Genomic DNA, 21184 nt, shown 5'->3' on the forward strand with positions numbered 1-21184 from the left:
ATTTGAGAAAGAAAAGTGTAGATGAATAAATACAATCCCTTGAGGACAATATTCATGTGGAAAAGAATTTCCAGATTTGTAAAAAATAATGGCATGTAATTTTGCGTTAAGGACACAGCATTCCTGCATTTGTATTTGCAGAAATCAGTGTTCAAATATCAAATACATCATTTGTCAAAATTGCCTTTTGCAAAACTGACATCCTTTCAACTTTGGGCATGATTAATTTACTAAGGGAAAAAATACTTACTTCTCCCTGGACTTTAACCACATTTGTATTTAGAATTATCATTAAAAATGGTATTTCTCAAAAAAAGTTGACAGGTCAAGATAGATATACTCATGTAGCTATCAAATAGAAAACTGTTCCCAAAGCAATTATTTCAATTTTATAGAAAAAAATGACATTTTCATTCCTAGTTTACTTATGTTTTATCCCAGTCACTTGTATTTCATACTACTTTTAGGGTATGTGTGAAACGTGCAGTATTTGATCACTTAAAAGCCTAATTTAGGAGGCATCAGCCAGAAACAGGTGCAATATATTGCGTCCAAAGTAATTGTGCAGATTTTTCATCATGAGAAATGGTTGCTTTATTTCAAATAGATTTTCTTTCCTCTTTTCTCTATTTCTTACATGCCATGTTGTAAGAGAATATTTTCTTTCTGCTGACCTTGAGGCAGGGCAAGAACAAACTTTTCTTTCAGAGCACAAGAGTTCATTTATGTGAGGTACCTAGGAAAATTAAGAAAGCCAGTTAGATAAGCTTAATGGGAACTCATGATGGGTTCAGATTTTTCAACATTTCTTTAGGAAACTTTTTATTTGCCAGTTTCGTTTTACAGGGTGAACTATATGTCCTGATTCTAAGAAGACATTATAGGTACCAACACATGGTCTGTATATCCACCAATACAATTTTCAGTCTGTCCTGTTCATACTTTCCAGAACTGTCTTTCTTGCAAACCAAATTAAATTGTGCCATTGTCTTCCCTGAAAAACAGGGTTTTAGCTCTCTCTTATCCTGTAGGTTCAAGTATAAAGTCCTTAATATGGCTTACAACACTCCAGTTACAAACCTCCTCCAAATCTTCACTTCTCAACTTTATTTCACTATTCCACTCCTTAGGTATACTTGCTCCTCATTGACTTTCAGACCCCTAAATCCATTTACCCTCTGCCTTTTCTGTACTTGTCCTTCCCAGCTGATTGCTCTCATTTCAATTCATGACCCAATATTAAATGGTTTGTAGTGCTGCCCCACAATCATTCCTGGTCCACTCACCCAGATAACTTTTCCATACTTTCCCTTCTCTTCTTCAATTTCTAATACATTCTCCATCTTTGCTTTTTGCTGATTACCTTGCTTCCTATTCCACTGAAAAAGCAGATGTCTCGGAAGAGAATTTCCCCAAGCTTCCTCCATCACATCCACCCACCTTGCTACATCTGTGCCCAGGCAGTGTGCCTTCCCTCCTGCCACTAGAGAGGAATGTCCACACTCCTGTCTAAGCCCAGCCCCTTGATTTGGACACTAGATTCATTCCCTCTACTCCGGATGGTACTTTGGAAAATCTCACCTCTTTGGCACATCAATTTCCCGTCAATTATGGCATCATTCCCAGAAACATAAACATGTTGTTACTTTTCTCATCTTAAAAAGAAATCCTCTCCTTTTTTCACCAAACTGATGCTTTTTTAAAAAGAGAAAGAGAGAAGAAAGAGAGAAAGAGAGAGAGAAAGAAAAAGAGAGAGATAGAAGAAGAAAGAGAAAGAGAGAGAAAGAAAGAGAGAGAAAGAAAGAGAGAGAGAAAGAAAGAAAGGAAAGAAAGAAAGAAAAAGAGAAAAGAAAGAAAAGAAAGAAAGAATCCTCTTTCACTCCATCCTTCCCTCTTGGATACTGTACCATATTTCAGTTTCCCTTTTCTGCAAAAACTGGAGATGACTTCATCATCTACAGTTCTTCTTATCTATTATAATAATTCTAAAACCAACTCAAATCAGGCCTCATTGACCACTGATACTTCTTTTTTCAAAGTCACCAAAGACTTCCATGTTGCTAAGTCCTTTGGGCAGTTCTCAGTCCTCATCTTACTTGACCTATCAGCAGCATTTAACTCACTGTAAATGCTTTCTTTTTTGATACAGCATCTTCACTTTTAGGATACTACTTCAAGTTTTTTTTTTTCTCATTGGTCAGTTTTTCTCAGTCTCCTTTGCTAATTCCATTTATCTCCCCAAACCCTAAATGTTGGCAGGTCCTAGATCCAGTCCTCAGATCTCTACTCTTTCTACACTCATTCTCTTTAAATACATTTATACATTGATTATCACCAAATCTATGTCTCTGGTCCAGAGCTCTCCCCTGAACTCTAGGCTCATATATCTCTCTATTTGACATCTTCACTTGGACGTCTAAAAAGTATCTCAAATACATTATGTCCCAAAATGAAATCTTCATTTCCTTAAAATCTGTTAATTCCACAGTTATGTCTCCATGGTAAAAATAAATTCTATTTTTTCAGATGCTTGAGTTAAAAATCTTGGAGTTTCCTTTACTCTTCCCTTTCTTGCATACCCCACCCTCACATCCAATCTGTCAGCAAGTACTGTTGGCCTTTTATTTGAAATATATCTAAATCAGACCACTTTTCATCACCTCGACAATTACCACTGTGGTCCAAGCCACCATCATTCTTCATCTAGAATGTTGCGACAGCCTTGTCAGTTGTTTCCTTATTTTTGCCTCTCTAACTCACTATTTTATTTTTTAATACATAAACCAGAATGCTTTTTTTTTCTTTTTTAACTTAGGTCTGATTATCTGATTCCTCCACTTAAAAAGCTCCGTGGTCTTCCAACTCTGTTATATTAAAAACCAAGATCATGCCCTTGCTCATCAGAAAAATAAAAAAAGGCCCCAACCCAAGGTCATTACCATGAGCCTAGTGTGCCTAATTGGATTTTGGAGGCAACACATTCCTCATTTGGGTGTGTTACTCCAGCCCATTTATCGAATGACCCAAAAAGCTGCCAGTTTTGAGTGGGGTCTAGAACAGGAGAAGTCTCTGCAACAGGTCCAGGCTGCTGTGCAAGCTGCTCTGCCACTTGGGCTATATGACATAGCAGAGCCAATGGTGCTTGAGGTGCCAGTGGCAGATAGGGATGCTGTTTGTAGCCTTTGGCAGGCCCCCATAGGTGAATCATAGCAGAGGCCTCTAGGATTCTGGAGCAAGGCCCTGCCATCATCTTCTGCAGGTAACTACTCTCCTTTTGAGAGACAGCTCTTGGCCTGTTACTGGGCTTTGGTAGAAACTGAACGTTTGACTATGGGTCATCAAGTCACCATGCAACCTGAACTGCCTATCATGAACTGAGTGCTTTCTGACACATCTGGTCATAAAGCGGGATGTGCATGGTAGCATTCCATCATCAAATGAAAGTGGCATGTACGTGATTGGGCTTGAGCAGGTCCTGAGGGCACAAGTAAGTTACATGAGGAAGTGGCTCAAATGCCCATGGTCCCCAATCCTGCCACCCTGCCTTCTCCCCACTAGCCTACACCAGTGGCCTCATGGGGAGTTCCCAATGCTGAGGTGACAGATGAAGAGAAGACTAGGGCCTGGTTCGCAGATGGTTCTGCATGATATGCGGGCACCACCTGAAGTGGACAGCTGCAGCACTACAGCCCCTTTCTAGGACATCCCTGAAGGACAGCAGTGAAGGGAAATCTTCCCATTGGGCAGAACTTCGAGCAGCGAACCTCATTGTGCACTTTGCATGGAAGGAGAAACGGCCAGATGTGTGATGATATGCTGATTCAAGGACTGTAGCCAATGGTTTGGCTGGATGGTCAGGGACTTGGAAGAAGCATGATTGGAAAATTGGTGACAAAGAAATTTGGGGAAGAGGTATGTGGATGGGCCTCTCTAAGTGGTCAAAAACTGTGAAGATATTTGTGTCTCCTGTGGGTGCTCACCAAAGGGTGACCTCAGCAAAGGGGGATTTTAATAAAGTGGATAGGATGACTCATTCTATGGACACTACTCAGCCTCTTTCCCCATCCACCCCTGTCAACACCCAATAGGCCCATGAACAAAGTGGCCTTGGTGGCAGGGATGGACGTTACACATGGGCTCAGCAACATGAACTTCCACTCACCAAAGCTGACCTGGCTACAACCACTGCTGAGTGCCCAATTTGCCAGCAGCAGAGAACAACGCTGAGTCCTCAGTGTGTCACCATTCCTCAGGGTGATCAGCCAGCTACTTGGTGGCAAGTTAACAACATGAAATGATTATATTGGACCTCTTCTATCATGGAAAGGACAGTGGTTTGTCCTAACTGGAATAGACAGTTGCTCTAGATATAGCTTTGCCTATCCTGCATTCTATGCTTCTGCCAAGACTACCATTCATGGACTCATGGAATGCCTTATCCACCATCATGGTGTTTCACATGGCATTGCCTCTGACCAAGGCACTCACTTTATGGCTAAAGAAGTACAGCAGTGAGCTCATGCTCATGGAATTCACTGGTCTTACTCCATTCCCCATCATTCTGAAGCAGGATGATAGAATGGTGGAATGGCCTTTTGAAATTACAACGCCAACTAGGTGACAATATTTTGCAGGGCTGGGACAAAGTTCTCCAGAAGGCTTTGTATGCTCTGAATCAGCATCCAATATACAGTACTGTTTCTCCTATAGCCAGGATTCACAGGTCCAGGAATCAAGGGGTGGAAGCAGAAGTGGCACCGCTCACCATCACTTCTAGTGACCCACTAGCAAAATTTTTGCTTCCTGTTCCCACAACATCACATTCTACTGGCCTAGAGGTCTTAGTTGCATTGGGAGGAACGCTGCCACCAGGAGACACAACACTGATTCCATTAAGCTAGAAGTTAAAATTGCCACCTGGCCACTTTGGGCTCCTTCTACCTCTGTCAACAGGCTAAGAAGGGAGTTACAGTGTTGGCTGAGGTGATTGACCCAGACTATCAAAATGATATCAGTCTTCTACTCCACAATGGAGGTGAAGAAGAGTATGCGTGGAATACAGGAGATCCCTTACGGTACCTCTTAGTGTTACCATGACCTGTGATTAAGGTCAATGGGAAACAACAACAACCCAATCCAGGCAGGACTGCAAATGGCCCCAGACCCTTCAGGAATGAAGGTTTGGTTCACTCCACCAGGTAAAAAGCCATGACCTGCTGAGGTGCTTGCGAAAGGCAAAGGGAATACAGAATGGGTAGTAGAAGGAGGTTAGGCATCAATACCAGCTACAACCACATGACCAGTTGCAGAAACGAGAACCATAATTGTCATGAATATTTCCTCCTCCTTTTGTTAAGAACATGTTTGTTCATGTATACACTTGAACTAAAAATATCTCCATCTTATTTCCTTTCTTTTTCCTTTATCATGTGACATAAGCTTTATTGACTTTATATCAGCATTTAAGTGATGTTAACTTTATGTAATAGTATTTGGGTTGGGGATTGGTGCACTTTCGGTTATACAAAGAATAACTGTATTATATTAGGTGTAATTATGACCTTATTATTGTCTTTATTTGAAGATGATGTATGATTTCAGGACACGTGTATGGGTTCAAATTGACAAGGGGAGGACTTGTAATGGTTATTATAGTCAACTTGATTGGATGGAAGGATGCAAGGTATAGTTCCTGGGTATGTCTATGAGGGTGTTGCCAAAGGAGATTAACAGTTGAGTCAGTGAACTGGGAGAGGCAGATCCTCAATCTGGGTGGGCACCATCTAGTCAGCTGCTAGTAGCGGCTAGGACGAAAGCAGGCAGAGGAACGTGGAGGGACTAGAATGGCTGAGTCTTCTGGTCTCCATCTTTCTCCAGTGCTGGATGCTTCCTGCCCTCGAACATCAGACTCCAAGTCCTTCAGCTTTTGGACCCTTGGACCTGTACCAGTGGTTTGCCAGGGACTCTCGGGCCTTCAGCCACAGACTGAAGGTTGCACTGACAGCTTCCCTACTTTTGAGGTTTTGGGACTGGCTTCCTTGCTCCTCAGCTTGGAGATGGCCTGTTGTGGGACTTAACCTTGTGATCATGTGAGTCAATACTCCTTAATAAACTCCCATTCATATATACATCCATCCTATTAGTCTTGTCCCTCTAAAGAACCTTGACTAATACAGAAAGCATACATTATCTGGCTCCCTGCTACCTCTTTGACATTATCTTCTATCAATCCTTCCCTCCCTTACTCTGCCCCAACTGTACTGGCCTTCTTGCTGTTATTCACACACACCATGCAAGTTTCCACTTGTGAAACTTTACAAAAATCTTGGAAAATCTTCCCCTGGTTTGCCAGTGAATTGAATCCTTACCTCCTTCTGGCCCGCGTGAAAATATTAGCATGTCAATAAAGCCTTCCCTGGCCACCCTAACTACAATTGCACCTTCTTTTTCTAATTTCTATCCCCCATTCCATTTATTTTTTTTTCTCAGAGTTATCATCATGATCCGATATATTAGTCATTTTACCTAAGTATCTTGTGTATTTATCTGTCCTTCTACCCCTATTAAATATTAACTCCATGGGGGCAGAGATTGTGGTCCGTTTTGTTCATGGCTGTATTCCTTTTGCTTTGAATAGAGCCTCAATAAATATTTGTTGAAAAATTAAAAACCTTCATACTTTTATATTTTCTCTTCTTTTGGGATGTTTTGAATGTTTGTTCAAAAATTTCTTTTTTTTTTTATTGAGACAGAGTCTCTGTCACCCAGGCTGGAGTGGAGTGGCACGCTTTTGTCTCACTGCAACCTCCGCCTCCCGAGTTCAAGCAATTCTCCCGTGTCAGCCTCCCGAGGAGCTGAGACTACAGGCACATGCCACCTAATTCTTGTATTTTTAGTAGAGACAGGGTTTCACCATATTGGTCAGGCTGGTCTCGAACTCCTGACCTCAGGTGATCCACCCACCTCGACCTCCCAAAGTGCTGAGATTACAGTGGTGATCCACCGCGCCCATCCTCCTTAACAATTTCTTATTCTTCCTTCTGTAGTAAAGCATTCTACCACAGAGATCTTTGTTTCTTATGAAAGCAGCTTGCAGCTGCTTTTAGTAAAATAATAGTACTCACTAACATTTATATTGTGCTTACTTACTTTGATCTAAATGCTTTATCTGTTTTAATTATAGGTAGTATAGCAACCCCATGAAGTGGGGCTATTACAATGTCTATTTTACAAATGAGTTGACACAGAAAGTTTAAAATTATTCAGATAGTAAGTGGTAGAGCCAGGATATCTCAAATGCAAGGAATCTGGCTCTAAAGTCTTCACTTTGAACCACAGTGCTATACTGCTTAGAGATAGAAGTTCATTGTTAAGTAGGTCTTAAGGACCCCTCCCTTCTGTGGACGAGGTATATAGACATTTTCTTTTGATTTATGGAAGCCAGCGCCTCTTAGCATTGGAATCAGAGTGTTCTTGAAAAGGGTTGGATAAATAAGAAGCATGTGGACATTCCAGGAAGAAGAAACTGAGTTGGGATTTGGTTTTCTGGTGGACTAGGATGTTCCTTACCAAAGCTCAGTGACAGAGAAAGGTGACAATTTTTATTGCAATTGTGAAAGTCAGGACTGGAAGTAGTTTTGAGTTGTGGGAAGGAGCAAAGAGTTGGATTCTGTTACCATGATGCAGCAAATCCTGCAACTAGTTCTGACCCAGCCACTTTGCTCTCCAGGAAGCAACTGGACAGGTGAACTGAAAAAACAGCTCAGAAAAGTCTCAAACACTTTGGGCCCATTAGGGTGGGAAGTCATTTGAATCAAACACTATACCTTCCTCAAATAGCCTTTAGAGCCAGCTTCCTCCACAGAAGTGCTGCCGTCCACACTCCCTTCTTCAGGTCTTGCCTTTGCTCCTGAAAGGCTTTGCCTCACAGCTGGCTACCCAGTCACCATCCTCTGAAATGACAGGCCCTCTGCAACCTGAGCAACCTCACCACTCTGGGCCAGTTCTGTGTTCTGTGTTCTGTGAATATAAATAGGTGAAAGGATGAGAGAGCACTGATCTTCAAGGACCGTTTGCATTTGGTTATACTACTAATGATGCTTTCTACTGTTTTATAAATTCAAGTTAATTGATTTAACATATACAAATTAGATGCCTACTTTGTATAAAGTAGGTCTCTTCTCAGAGCATAATGCTGGGGAGTGGGTTCTTCCACCCTCAAAGGGTCTTTACAACTGTGATAAGATGCTGCCTTATTCCCTGGAGTAACCACCGAAACCCCATGCTTCCAACACTGCCTGCCAAAGTCAGTTTTAAAGGTTCAGTTGCCATGAATTAGTTAGCAAACTGGGTTAGGGCAAAACTGGTACCTACTCCCCCTTTGATGTGTAAAAGAGGAGAAAATGAGAGTTGTGAAGTTAGTCTGAATTTCTTATACCTGATAGATGGTAACTCCAAGCATGACACTGCCAGGGACCCATTAATTGCATTTTAATGTTCAAAACAGGTGGTCAGGTAATACTTCAAAACCCATCACAAATGTTATCGTGTTGACTTCTTCATGTTGTATTTTGAACTACTATTTCAACATTTCCTTGCCTGGATCAAAATATGTATGTTTGTATTTATTGATTGATCACTCTGTCTCTCCCCACTAAACCATAAATTCCTCAAGGGCAGAAACCCTTTCTTGTTATCTACATAGCCTTAGACCTGGCTGTGCCTTACACGATGGGACTCTAAATAAATGCTTGATAATTGAGTGGATGAATGAACAAATACATGAATGGATATGTAATAATTTTTTTGTCAGATTAATGTTATTACTATCGGTTATACATTTAGTTTTAACAAAAACTTTATAAAGAAATGGTGTCTTGTATTAAAAGAGAGATTTTGTCGCAGATATTTTGGGGTAATCACTTTTATTTTATATTTTTTGAAACAGAGTCTCACTCTGTCACCTAGGTTGGAGTACAGTGGCATGATCTTGGCTCACTGCAACCTCTGTCTCCTGGGTTGAAGTGATCGTCCCACCTCAGCCTCTTGAATAGCTGGGACTACCAACATGTACCACCATGCCTGGCTAATTTTTGTATTTGTTGTAGAGACAGGGTTTTGCCATGTTGCCCAGTCTGTGCTCGAACTCCTGGTCTCAAGCAATCTACTTGTCTCAGCCTCCCAAAGTGCTGAGATTACAGTCATGAGCCACCACGCCCCAGTGATCGCTTTCTAAAAAAATAAAAAAAATTTTTTTTGTAGACACGGGGTTTCCTTTGTGGCCCAGACTGGTCTCAAACTCATGGCCTCAAGTAATTCTTTTGCTTGGGCTTCCCACAGTGCTGGGATTACAGGCAATTATAGGCATAAAACACCATGCCCTACCTAAAGAAAACCTTATATGTTTAAAAAGATGTTTCCTTTATACAAAGTAGGCATGTAATTTGCATATGTTAAATCAATTAAGTTGAATTTATAAAACAGGAGAAAGCGTCATTAGTCGTGTAACCAAATGCAAGTCCAGTTGCTTTCCACTGGCAGTGTTCAATTAACAAGAGCGAGGTCTAGTAGACACAAAGTGACCTTATTCCAGAGCTAGCTGAGGCGAGGTAGTATAGGCACCTGCCTTGAGGGCACCACTTCAGCTTTCAGGGCAGAAAGCAGGGTCTTTAAAGGGGAACTTAGTGTGAATAGCATGCAGGGGAGTGAGCAAGGAGGTGCCAGGTCTACATGACTTGTTCAATGTCTTATTCATTGGGTGGTCTGGGTGGTGCGATCACAGGCAAAGGTAGGCTGTAAATTAGGACTTGTCTGGAGGCAATCTCGCAGTAGGGGAGATAGCTCTGGAAGTGCCTGGTTTGTTTAAAGACTCCTCCCTGGAACTTCTGAGTAAACACGTAGATAAACTTGCAGTGCAGTAAGTGCCTAGTGGAGTGAAGGTAAAGGTTTTAATTGCATTCCTGAAGAGCTAAGTAAAAGGTGAACAAACAGGGAAAAGGAAAAGAGGTTGAAGATAATTTTTAGGAAAATGGGGTATTTGGTTACCGTAGAAAGAGTAGAGCTGATTGTAGTCCCATTTTTGCCACTGACCTTACCTTGAATAAAGAAGTTAACCTCAAAAGTCCCACTGGCTCATATATACTACAGTTTCATGAATTTATAAGTGGAAGTAAACTTTATATCTACTCTTCAATGAAATCACTGAAAAGGCAAATAAAAACATGCAACCACCTCAAGGCACAGCCCATTTTTCTAAGAAGAGAAGAATTTGAGGAATGATCGCCATTAGACTTCCTTGGAAATGGTTTATTTTGCAATTGTGGCACTAACCTCAGAAAAAAACTATTGTTTGAACATTTGACTCATTATTCAAAAACTCACATACTCTCTTATTATTTTGAGATACGTCCCATCAATACCTAATTTATTGAGAGTTTTTAGCATGAAGCGTTGTTGAATTTTGTCAAAGGTCTTTTCTGCATCTATTGAGATAATCATATGGTTTTTGTCTTTGGTTCTGTTTACATGCTGGATTACATTTATTGATTTGCATATATTGAACCAGCCTTGCATCCCAGGGATGAAGCCCACTTGATCATGGTGGATAAGTTTTTGATGTGCTGCTGGATTCGGTTTGCCAGAATTTTATTGAGGATTTTTGCATCAATGTTCGTCAAGGATATTGGTCTAAAATTCTCTTTTTTGGTTTTGTCTCTGCCCGGCTTTGGTATCAGGATGATGCTGGCCTCATAAAATGAGTTAGGGAGGATTCCCTCTTTTTCTATTGATTGGAATAGTTTCAGAAGGAATGGTACCAGTTCCTCCTTGTACCTCTGGTAGAATTCGGCTGTGAATCCATCTGGTCCACAGCCAATATCATACTGAATGGGCAAAAACTGGAAGCATTCCCTTTGAAAACTGGCACAAGACAGGGATGCCCTCTCTCACCACTCCTATTCAACATAGTGTTGGAAGTTCTGGCCAGGGCAATTAGGCAGGAGAAGGAAATAAAGGTTATTCAATTAGGAAAAGAGGAAGTCAAATTGTCCCTGTTTGCAGATGACATGATTGTATGTCTAGAAAACCCCATTGTCTCAGCCCAAAATCTCCTTAAGCTGATAAGCAACTTCAGCAAAGTCTCAGGATACAAAATCAATGTACAAAAATCACAAGCATTCCTATACACCAATAACAGACAAACAGAGAGCCAAATCATGAGTGAACTCCCATTCACAACTGCTTCAAAGAGAATAAAATACCTAGGAATCCAACTTACAAGGGACATGAAGGACCTCTTCAAGGAGAACTACAAACCACTGCTCAAGGAAATAAAAGAGGATACAAACAAATGGAAGAACATTCCATGCTCATGGGTAGGAAGAATCAATATCGTGAAAATGGCCATACTGCCCAAGGTAATTTATAGATTCAATGCCATCCCCATCAAGCTACCAATGACTTTCTTCACAGAATTGGAAAAAACTACTTTAAAGTTCATATGAAACCAAAAAAGAGCCCACATCGCCAAGTCAATCCTAAGCCAAAAGAACAAAGCTGGAGGCATCACACTACCTGACTTCAAACTATACTACAAGGCTACAGTAACCAAAACAGCATGGTACTGGTACCAAAACAGAGATATAGATCAATGGAACAGAACAGAGCCCTCAGAAATAATGCTGCATATCTACAACTATCTGATCTTTGACAAACCTGAGAAAAGCAAGCAATGGGGAAAGGGTTCCCTATTTAATAAATGGTGCTGGGAAAACTGGCTAGCCATATGTAGAAAGCTGAAACTGGATCCCATCCTTACACCTTATACAAAAATTAATTCAAGATGGATTAAAGACTTAAACGTTAGATCTAAAACCATAAAAACCCTAGAAGAAAACCTAGGCATTGCCATTCAGGACATAGGCATGGGCAAGGACTTCATGTCTAAAACACCAAAAGCAATGGCAACAAAAGCCAAAATTGACAAATGGGATCTAATTAAACTAAAGAGCTTCTGTACAGCAAAAGAAACTACCGTCAGAGTGAACACGCAACCTACAAAATGGGAGAAAATTTTCGCAACCTACTCATCTGACAAAGGGCTAATATCCAGAATCTACAATGAACTCAAACAAATTTACAGGAAAAAAACAAACAACCCCATCAAAAAGTGGGCAAAGGATATGAACAGACACTTCTCAAAAGAAGACATTTATGCAGCCAAAAGACACATGAAAAAATGCTCATCATCACTGGCCATCAGAGATATGCAAATCAAAACCACAATGAGATACCATCTCACACCAGTTAGAATGGCAATCATTAAAAAGTCAGGAAACAACAGGTGCTGGAGAGGATGTGGAGAAATAGGAACACTTTTACACTGTTGGTGGGACTGTAAACTAGTTCAACCATTGTGGAAGTCAGTGTGGCTATTCCTCAGGGATCTAGAACTAGAAATACCATTTGACCCAGCCATCCCATTACTGGGTATATACCCAAAGGATTATAAATCATGCTGCTATAAAGACACATGCACATGTATGTTTATTGCGGCACTATTCACAATAGCGAAGATTTGGAACCAACCCAAATGTCCAACAATGATAGACTGGATTAAGAAAATGTGGCACATATACACCATGGAATACTATGCAGCCATAAAAAATGATGAATTCATGTCCTTTGTAGGGACATGGATGAAACTGGAAATCATCATTCTCAGTAAACTATTGCAAGGACAAAAAACCAAACACTGCATGTTCTCACTCATAGGTGGGAATTGAACAATGAGAACACATGGACACAGGAAGGGGAACATCACACTCTGGGGACAGTTGTGGGGTGTGGGGAGTGGGGAGGGATAGCATTAGGAGATATACCTAATGCTAAATGATGAGTTAATGGGTGCAGCACACCAGCATGGCACATGTATACATATGTAACTAACCTGCACATTGTGCACATGTACCCTAAAACTTAAAGTATAATAATAAAAAAAAACTCATATACTCTCTATTGTTCAAACAGATCAAATTCTACTTCATAGATAAGTTGAAAAGTTCGTGAGATCAACAATGAAATAATAACACAACTGTGGCCTGACCTGGAGAGCTTTCAGGACCCAGAGCTAAACGAATAAAATAATATCCTGGTAAATTAGACATTAAGAGGACAATTACATCTTACTACAGTTGTGTAAATTTGCTGAAAATACCATAATAATGTAACTTTAGCTGATAGGAAATATTTTATAGCATATTTCTAACATGTACTGCATATAATTTACCCCCATAAAATCTTATATTAATTCACCTACTGGCATTAATTACATAATTATATTAATTAATATATTCTGAAGCTAATGTTATGCTTGATCAGATTCAAGCCCATAGACCTGTGCCCTACAGCAAATTGGATGCTACTAGTGCAGAAAGCAGAGCACAAGTGTGGTGTGCCCAGCAGGGCTTAGAGTTTTAATTAGATAAATCAGAGAAATCTGAATTATCTGTCACTTTGAAGTGCTTTTCAAAGCAAACCTCAAAAAATGCGCCTTGCAATAATACGATTTGGGGGTCAGAAAGTCATGTATAACTGGGCTGCTAGCTTTGCATTAGAGAAGAAAAATAAAAAGCTCCAGTTCTAAGAACTGTCAGGAAACGGGGAGAAACAATCGCAGCCCTCTGCAGTACCTGGGACATTTGGCATAAACTGATGCTTATCAATGTCTACCAGCTGTAGAGAAGTGGTTATCAAACTTTAGGAAACGTTTGGGAAGCTTGCAAAAAATGCAGCCACATAGTCCGCATCCTCAGAGATTCAGATTCATTCAGTGGGGCTGGCATGGGGTCAAGGAATCGGTATTTTAAACAGGCATACCCTTAAATGGCAAATTAAAAAAAAAATAAGGTGCTTATTTCTCTGTAAAACAACAGTCGTTTGTGTGAACTGTTGGTTTTCCCAGAAGAGTAACAAAATCTTTGTTGTTTTCATCACCTCAGACTTTAAGGGCATTAGGTTTGTAGCCATAATGACCTGCACGTGTATTTCAGACCTCTTGTTCTCAACAGAAAAAATCCTTCGCTTTTAAGTCATGTCTTGTTGTCTGCTCAGATAGAACTTTTAAAGGATGATTAAGAAATTTGAGCTAACTTGCCCAGCTCAACTTTCCTTCCAGTTTTCAATTTTAGTGTAGAAGCAAAGTTTATTTATTTATGTGTTTGTTTATCCACTCACCATTTATTATCTAATGTATGTGAGCTATGTTTTAATCACTGAGTATAAAGATAAATAAAATGGTCTCTGTACTCAAGGAGTTCATAATCTCTTAATGGTGATATACATATAGGTAAATAAGTTTAATAAAGTGTTACTGATGTCATTATAAGAACATATGCACAGTATGGTTGAAAACAAAGAAGCAGGTCAACTCTCGCTGGGTGGGAATAGAGTCCTGAGGGAGCTACATGAAGGAGTTTATATTTAACCTGATCTTGAAAGTGTTATTTGATGGGCTAATAGGAGAGAGAAGTGATTCTAGGCAAAGGGAAGCAGCAGCAAAGGCTCGGAGGTAGGAAAAAGAACATTGGCTCTCTGTGTTGGATGTGGGTGGGTTAGGCGGAAGACTTAGCTTCTAAGGTTCGTGAGTTATCTGCAAGGAGGGCTACAGTGAGATGTGAATGGTAGGTAGGGTGGTGGTCATCAACAATTTATTAGGCTAAGGGATTTGAATTTTATTCTATACATGATGGGAAGCCATTGGGAAGATTTAAAGTAATGGATTACTCGGATGGTTAATAAAGCTAGAATTTCATGAGTCAAAAAAGGGAGATTTAGTGGAACTGTTAGTACAGATGCTTCATCCTTCTTATGTACGTGTTATCTGCAGATAAGTAAGGTAAATTTAAAAACTTGATGTTTCAAAAAGAAGATGAGCTTATTTATTGACAGTCAATCCTCTCATTGAGAGAATCACATAGAAGTGACCAAGTCACCTGTTTATCATTTTCCTCAAACATGAGATTGGATGTTTTAAAGAACAACCTTGTGGCTCCATAAAAACTTTCAGAATTATTTGCAAAGCCCATAAATCTTAATGAGGCTTGCTTCAGAGATGAGAAAAATTCGCATAAATTGTTTAAAAATAAAAAGCCATCTGCCTGCCTAAAGATTAATTCTAACCCAGACAATACAGCTGGCTCAGCTTTATGTCTTCTGTACTTGAATGTAGAAAGATATTGGTAATACATTAGTGCTCAAACTTCAAGCTATTTATTTATTTAGACTTGAGCATTGAAAACTCAATACAAACTATTAAGATCCTGTAAATGACATACAGCCAGGTGTATTGTTATTTCGTCAGACTTGTATTAAACTCATTTAGTTGGTTGATTTTTATACGACATTATTGTAAAGCTAGACTAGCATTCGTCATCTCTATATGCAGATACTCTATGAGAAACAATTCAAAACTCCTGTTCCATATTCTTTGCTCACAATGCCAGCATAGCTGAAACTACTTAACTTAAATTGTATAATTTAAAAAGAAATTCTGTGTGTGCAATGTGCATCCTCAGGATAAAAAGATAAAGATAAACCTGAGCAGTCTAAATGACGGCTCTCCTACTAAGTCCTGCTGCAGAGAATACATGCTGAGAACGCTCCCAGGGCTGAAGACTTGAGTCCATTTTACAGCTGGGGAAGGAAAGACTGGGGAAGTAAAAGTGGAGTTTTGGCTTCAGGGTGGTAAGATGTTTAAGAGACAAAGCTCTTATTGAATGAAATATTTATTTGTCAATGCAAAGTAGACATCCGCACGATTAGCAACCCTTTTTATGGTGGCAATGCTATCTAACACATTAATCTAAAACTTTGCTTCAATATTTGACTGATGGTTAAATGAGTAAATAAATAACGTGAAAGGGAAGAACAAATGCAGATTGTATGCCAAGTTAAAGTTTACTAGCTTATCAACAGGTTCATTTCAAGTGAGACACTAACAATACCAGTATAGAGAGGAAGTTTGACATCTAAACTATACACTCTGAACTACAAAGATGATTGTTGGAAGTTACCTGTGCTTTTGAGTAAACATTTGAGATTTTGTTTAGAGAATTTACTTTAGAAATATGCTTTTGTCGAGCTTTCTGTGCATTCTTCCTTTTAACAAAATGTTTTGTATGTATTTGAAACAGATTATTAATAAGTTACAAGGCTTTGTGTGGAGTTTGATTTGTTGGCCGCCGGAGATGCTCCTGTGCTCCCTGCTATTCACCAGAGTTGATAGCAGAGTTGATAGCATGTGTCAACTGGTTGGCACATGTATTAAGACTCAGATGCAAGTGTTAGAAATGTAACTTTATCTAGTTTGTGCAAAAAGGAGAAAAATAAGCTCATATATATCTGGGAAGATGACAGGAACTAACATTTTAGTTCCTGTTTTTTGCCTACTATGTGTCAGGCAAGAGCCTATACTCTAGAATCCGACTGCCTAGGTTCCAATCCTGAATTTGTACTACTTAGCTGTATGAGTTAAGGCAAATTATTAATACTTTCCCTCATTGTGCCTCAGTTTCCTTATCTATGAAATGGATATTCTAATAGTACATACTTGACATTGTTGAAAGGATTTAATGAAGCAATATGTGAAAGTACTTAGAATAATGGTATTATCATTTCATTAATCTTGGCAACATCCCTGATGAGGAAAGAATCATTAGTCTCATTTTACAAAAGAAGAAACAAGCTAAGAAAAGGTAGTAAGTGATTTGCAAAGGGTCACATAGCTTGTTGGGATGCAGCTGTCTTTCCACTCTCTATGTTGGCTTCTGATCCATGAAAATTGTGTCTTGGAAAGATTAATTTGGGGATGAACTGTCAAATGAATTAGAAAGGAGGAATATACTGTGGGAGGCCATAGCAATGATCCACCTAAAAACTCACAAAGGTCTGGATTTGAATAGTAAAAGCAGGACTCCATAAGACAGAATGAATTTGAAAGATATTACCAAGATAGAGTTGTTAGAATTTAGCAATAGATGGACTAATAACGAAAAAATGAGTTAAAGGTGCTGAGGCAGGAATGTGTAACCAGAGGCTAACTGTGTGTGGAGCATGACATTAAGGTAATGTAATGACATTAAGATATTCAGTTAGGGCTTTCTTTCAGTGAATGAATGAATAACAATTAGACTTTGAGTACAAATGTCGGGGAGCATTGTGTTATAGGGAACTTTAGAAGAGAAAGCAGGTTTGGAAAGTAGGCTGGTAAGCTTCATTTTGGATGCATTCATTTGGAGAAGTCTGAAAAATATCAGAAGGTTCCTGGCAGACATTCGAAAATATGAAGCTGGAGCTTAGGTGAGATTTTGGAGCTAGAGATAGAGATGTAGGAGTTAGCTTGGTGGATGTGGATTTTGAAGCCATATGATGAATTAAGATTTCTGGTGGAGAAAAAAATCCAGAAGAGAGATAAGGGCAAGAAGGAGGAGGAGGAAGAAGAGCTTGAGGTGCAGGCTGCACATGAGCAGTTGGAGAGGGTGGAGGGAGCCAGACATAACCTGGAGACAAGCAGGAGTGCCCAGGGACCACCACAGAGAGCCGGGAAGCACGAGGTAGAGGGTGCACAGATGGGAAGTGAAAAGGTCATTTCCTAGAGTCGTTTCTATATAGCAATGGGAATGGAAGCAAGATTCCACTGGGTAGAGGCATTAATAGGCTTTCCTGCTGTTGGGAACCTCTCCTTCCAACTATGCCAGATTCGAAGAGTGGCCTGGCTTTTGCCAGGTTGCGTTTGCTCAGAAAAACACAAAGTGCTGCTGCAGCCAAACGCACACTTTGTTTTTGTGGGGGTCTTGGCTTGAATTTTTGTTTTCTTTCACTCTAATGAACTGGTTGGGGCTTAAGCTGGCTCAAGTTGGTCCTCTGCGCCCACCCTGGCTCCTCTCAAACCCTGAAGGAAACCTTCCTCCCAGATAATCATTTTACACCTCATCTTACTGTCTGAAATTGACCAGAGAGACAGATGAGAAGCCTAAAAGGTAGGCAGACACTTGTTGCCCATCCCTTCACCCTTGCCATCTAAGGCTCATTTTACCATTTTTGTCCTTGTCCAAATGCTATCTCCTCTCGAACAGTGAGGCAGGAAGGAAAGTTGTGGTTAGACACGTGTGAGACAAGAGGCAAAGGTAGTTTGATGATAGAGACTCAGAGTTGACCAGAGAAAGTGTTAAAGAATGTTTCCTAGGATGGGGAAAATTTTAACATATCCCTGAACTGTGTGGAAAAAAATAAAAACTAAAAGAAGGCAAATTCAGTCTGGATCATGAGCATTCTGAGTTTCCGAAAGATACCCCTGTGTGTTAAGTCCATCAGAGCTTTAAAGTGAAGGGCTGTGGTTCAGGAGAGAGGACAGGCAGTAATTTTTTTTTTTTTTTTTGAGAGACGGAGTCTCTCTCTGTTGCCCAGGCTGAAGTGCAGTGGTGCGATCTTGGGTCACTGCAATCTCCACCTCCCAGGTTCAAGTGATTCTCCTGCCTCAGCTTCCCAAGTAGCTGGGACTACAGGCATGGCCCACCACGCTCAGCTAATTTTTGTATTCTTAGTAGAGACAGGGTTTCCCTATATGTTGGCCAGGCTGGTCTCAAGCTCCTGACGTCAGGTGATCTGCCTGCCTCGGCCTCCCAAAGTGCTGGGATTACAGGTGTGAAACATTGTGCCCAGCCCAGGCAGTAATACTCTTTTAATTGCAAATCCCGCATTCCTTTCTCCATCATCAGTACCTGCTGACCACATCCCCATCTCCCTTTGCAGTTGCTATGACACTATTTCAGGCCCTTGTTACTCCATTGAGACTAAGAGTTATTTATTTCCCTTTCTCCCAGTTATTCTTTCTCCTTTGCCCTTTTACACACGGCTCCAAGATTAACCTTTTGGAAATTCAGCTGCAATCCCATCACTCCCCAGATCAGTGGCTGTGGAGCACACTTACAAGATTGGAAAAGCCCACATAACTCACACACAAAAATATTCTTCTAATTTCCTGGAACTGTTTTTTCCCCCATCACCTGCTAAACATTTATATAATGATAAAGACCTGTTTTCCATCTCCCCCCAACCAATCCTGCAATCCACAATAGTTGAAGTGGTCGGGGAGGCAGAGCAGCATTTCTTTTCTCTTTAGTTCTGGTGGAACCAATATTTTTTCTTTATACATAAAACAATTCATTGTTATACATGAGGACATTTTACTCAGTAGAATGTTGTTGAGGTTGTACATAATGTATATTCATTTTTGTAGCAATGCATTCATTTCTATGCATTGCAGTTCAATGGAGCAGCACCAGAAAGAAAGAAAAAAAAAACCCACCATCCTTAAAGCCATTTTAACAAAATGTTTTAAATTATGTTTCTTTGAGTTAATGGTTTGAAAAGAAAAATGGGGAAAGTACATACATTTTACTAGAATGAGCCATCAGAGATCTAAATAAATGAACCAAATGAGTTTGTTTGAATGCTCCCATTCACATAGGATTACACATTCAAATAAAACTGTACATTTATTTGAATATGTAATCAAGGAGTTAAACATAAGTGACACTTATTTCTAAGTGTAGCATTCCTGGTTTACACATGTGAGTACCTCAATGTGTTGTTAAAAAGCAGAAAATAGTTCTTTCTATATGCATTTTACGCAAATTTCAAAGCTATTGTTATTGTTTATCAGCTTCATTGCTCCTCAGGCACAAAGACACTTGCACATATTACCAGCAATGCTGCTGCCAAATGGAAGGCTATATTCAAGTTTCTCAAGTTGTCTGAGCCTTTGGGAAAGTCAGAGTTCATTCATTTCTTCATTTTTCATTTGACAAGTCACTATGCTAGGTGCTGAGTTACAAAGGTATTTGAATCATCTAGGCATTTTAAAGTGCTTATCTCTACTGGTTTCTGTACTATTAGTTAGGATAAATTGTCCTGGTTCATGACCCAAATGCTTTTAGGTTTCTGATCTTTTAGGCCACCCTTGGTTCTTAAGGAATAGTGAATGTACAGCATGATGCAGGCAAATGCTCATGTTAATATGATGTGGCACATGAGTACAAATGGGGACTTACAACGTAAATATTAAAAGAGTTATTAACTAAACTAACAGAGTGCTATGTAAATTACATTCTATCCTCCTACCTTGTTCCTAGCTTCACAATGGCTGAAAGACCAAGTTTGAATTTAGGAATCCTTAGTTCCTCTGGGTTCTATGCTGGAATGTGGCAGCACTGGATGTATGGCCCCTACCCTCTGGCTGAGGCCTGCGGCCTGCTCCATTCTTTGCATACCCTGGGCTCTGTCATGTATCACAAAGGGTTTTACATTCACATGGGTGGATGACATTGTCAGCACATCCAAGCTCTGTCCATCTTGTATAAATAGTTGCTCTGGACCTAGTGAAGACCAATGAAGTGAGCACACTCTGGAAGCAGTTCTGGGCTGGTTGGGAGGGAATTTTGCAGTCCCACATACCTGGAAGGTGGTCTACAACAGGGAACGTGTGAGATCTGTCCCCTTGGTCTTACCCATGGAGGAAGGCAAGAGCCTTCTTCCTATATTACTAAGTGATCTCTAGACTGCCGGCACTTGGCTGGACAACTTGTGGATGACTTAAGAAGGACTTCCCTCCTTCTTAATTATTAAAGATGTTAATACTTAAGGTGTGTTCACACCTTTCCTACAGGTGCCTTTCTGGTCCTGCTTGGCCTTTTTAGCACAACCATAACTTAACCTGGGAGCAAGAGAAAACAGAAAATAGTATAGAGGAAGAAGGCTCTAACCTTTCTTTCTTCTACCCAACTCTACCCCAATGGTGGTGACACAGATCTAGCATGAATGAATAATGTCTGGAGGAAGGCTTTGTGTTGGCTTGAGTCAGTCAGTGTGTTTGTGGTCCTCAGCAATTACCGTGCAGTAGGACACAGCTCTTTCAGGACCCAGGGGTCTTGATGACTGCTGCCTAATCTGTTCTGTTATTTCTGAACAAAATGTGGAAAAGGAAGGTGGAAGGGTGGAGGGGAAGCAACAGATGGAAACATGTTGCTAGAGAATTACAGCTACTGAGAGATTTTCAGGATTAAAAAAGAAGTAGTTTAATTTGAATATTGTTTAAAAATAATCTGAGTTGTCAAGAAAGAAAACACAG

The 21184-nt window shown here is 40.1% G+C and overlaps 1 long non-coding RNA gene across 1 annotated transcript; it reads right to left on the reverse strand.

The window, feature by feature from the left end:
* Nucleotides 1-571: 571 nt before the first annotated feature.
* LINC02719 (long intergenic non-protein coding RNA 2719) lies at nucleotides 572-20229 on the reverse strand. The gene is made up of 3 exons (NR_135099.1): nucleotides 20179-20229; nucleotides 7827-8019; nucleotides 572-736 (listed from the first exon to the last, which is right to left on the reverse strand). It is a non-coding gene; the product is annotated as a long intergenic non-protein coding RNA 2719 (long non-coding RNA).
* Nucleotides 20230-21184: the final 955 nt, after the last annotated feature.

The sequence above is a fragment of the Homo sapiens genome, chromosome 11 (genome assembly GCF_000001405.40).
Source record: "Homo sapiens chromosome 11, GRCh38.p14 Primary Assembly".
In the NCBI taxonomy this organism is placed as follows: Eukaryota; Metazoa; Chordata; class Mammalia; order Primates; family Hominidae; genus Homo; species Homo sapiens.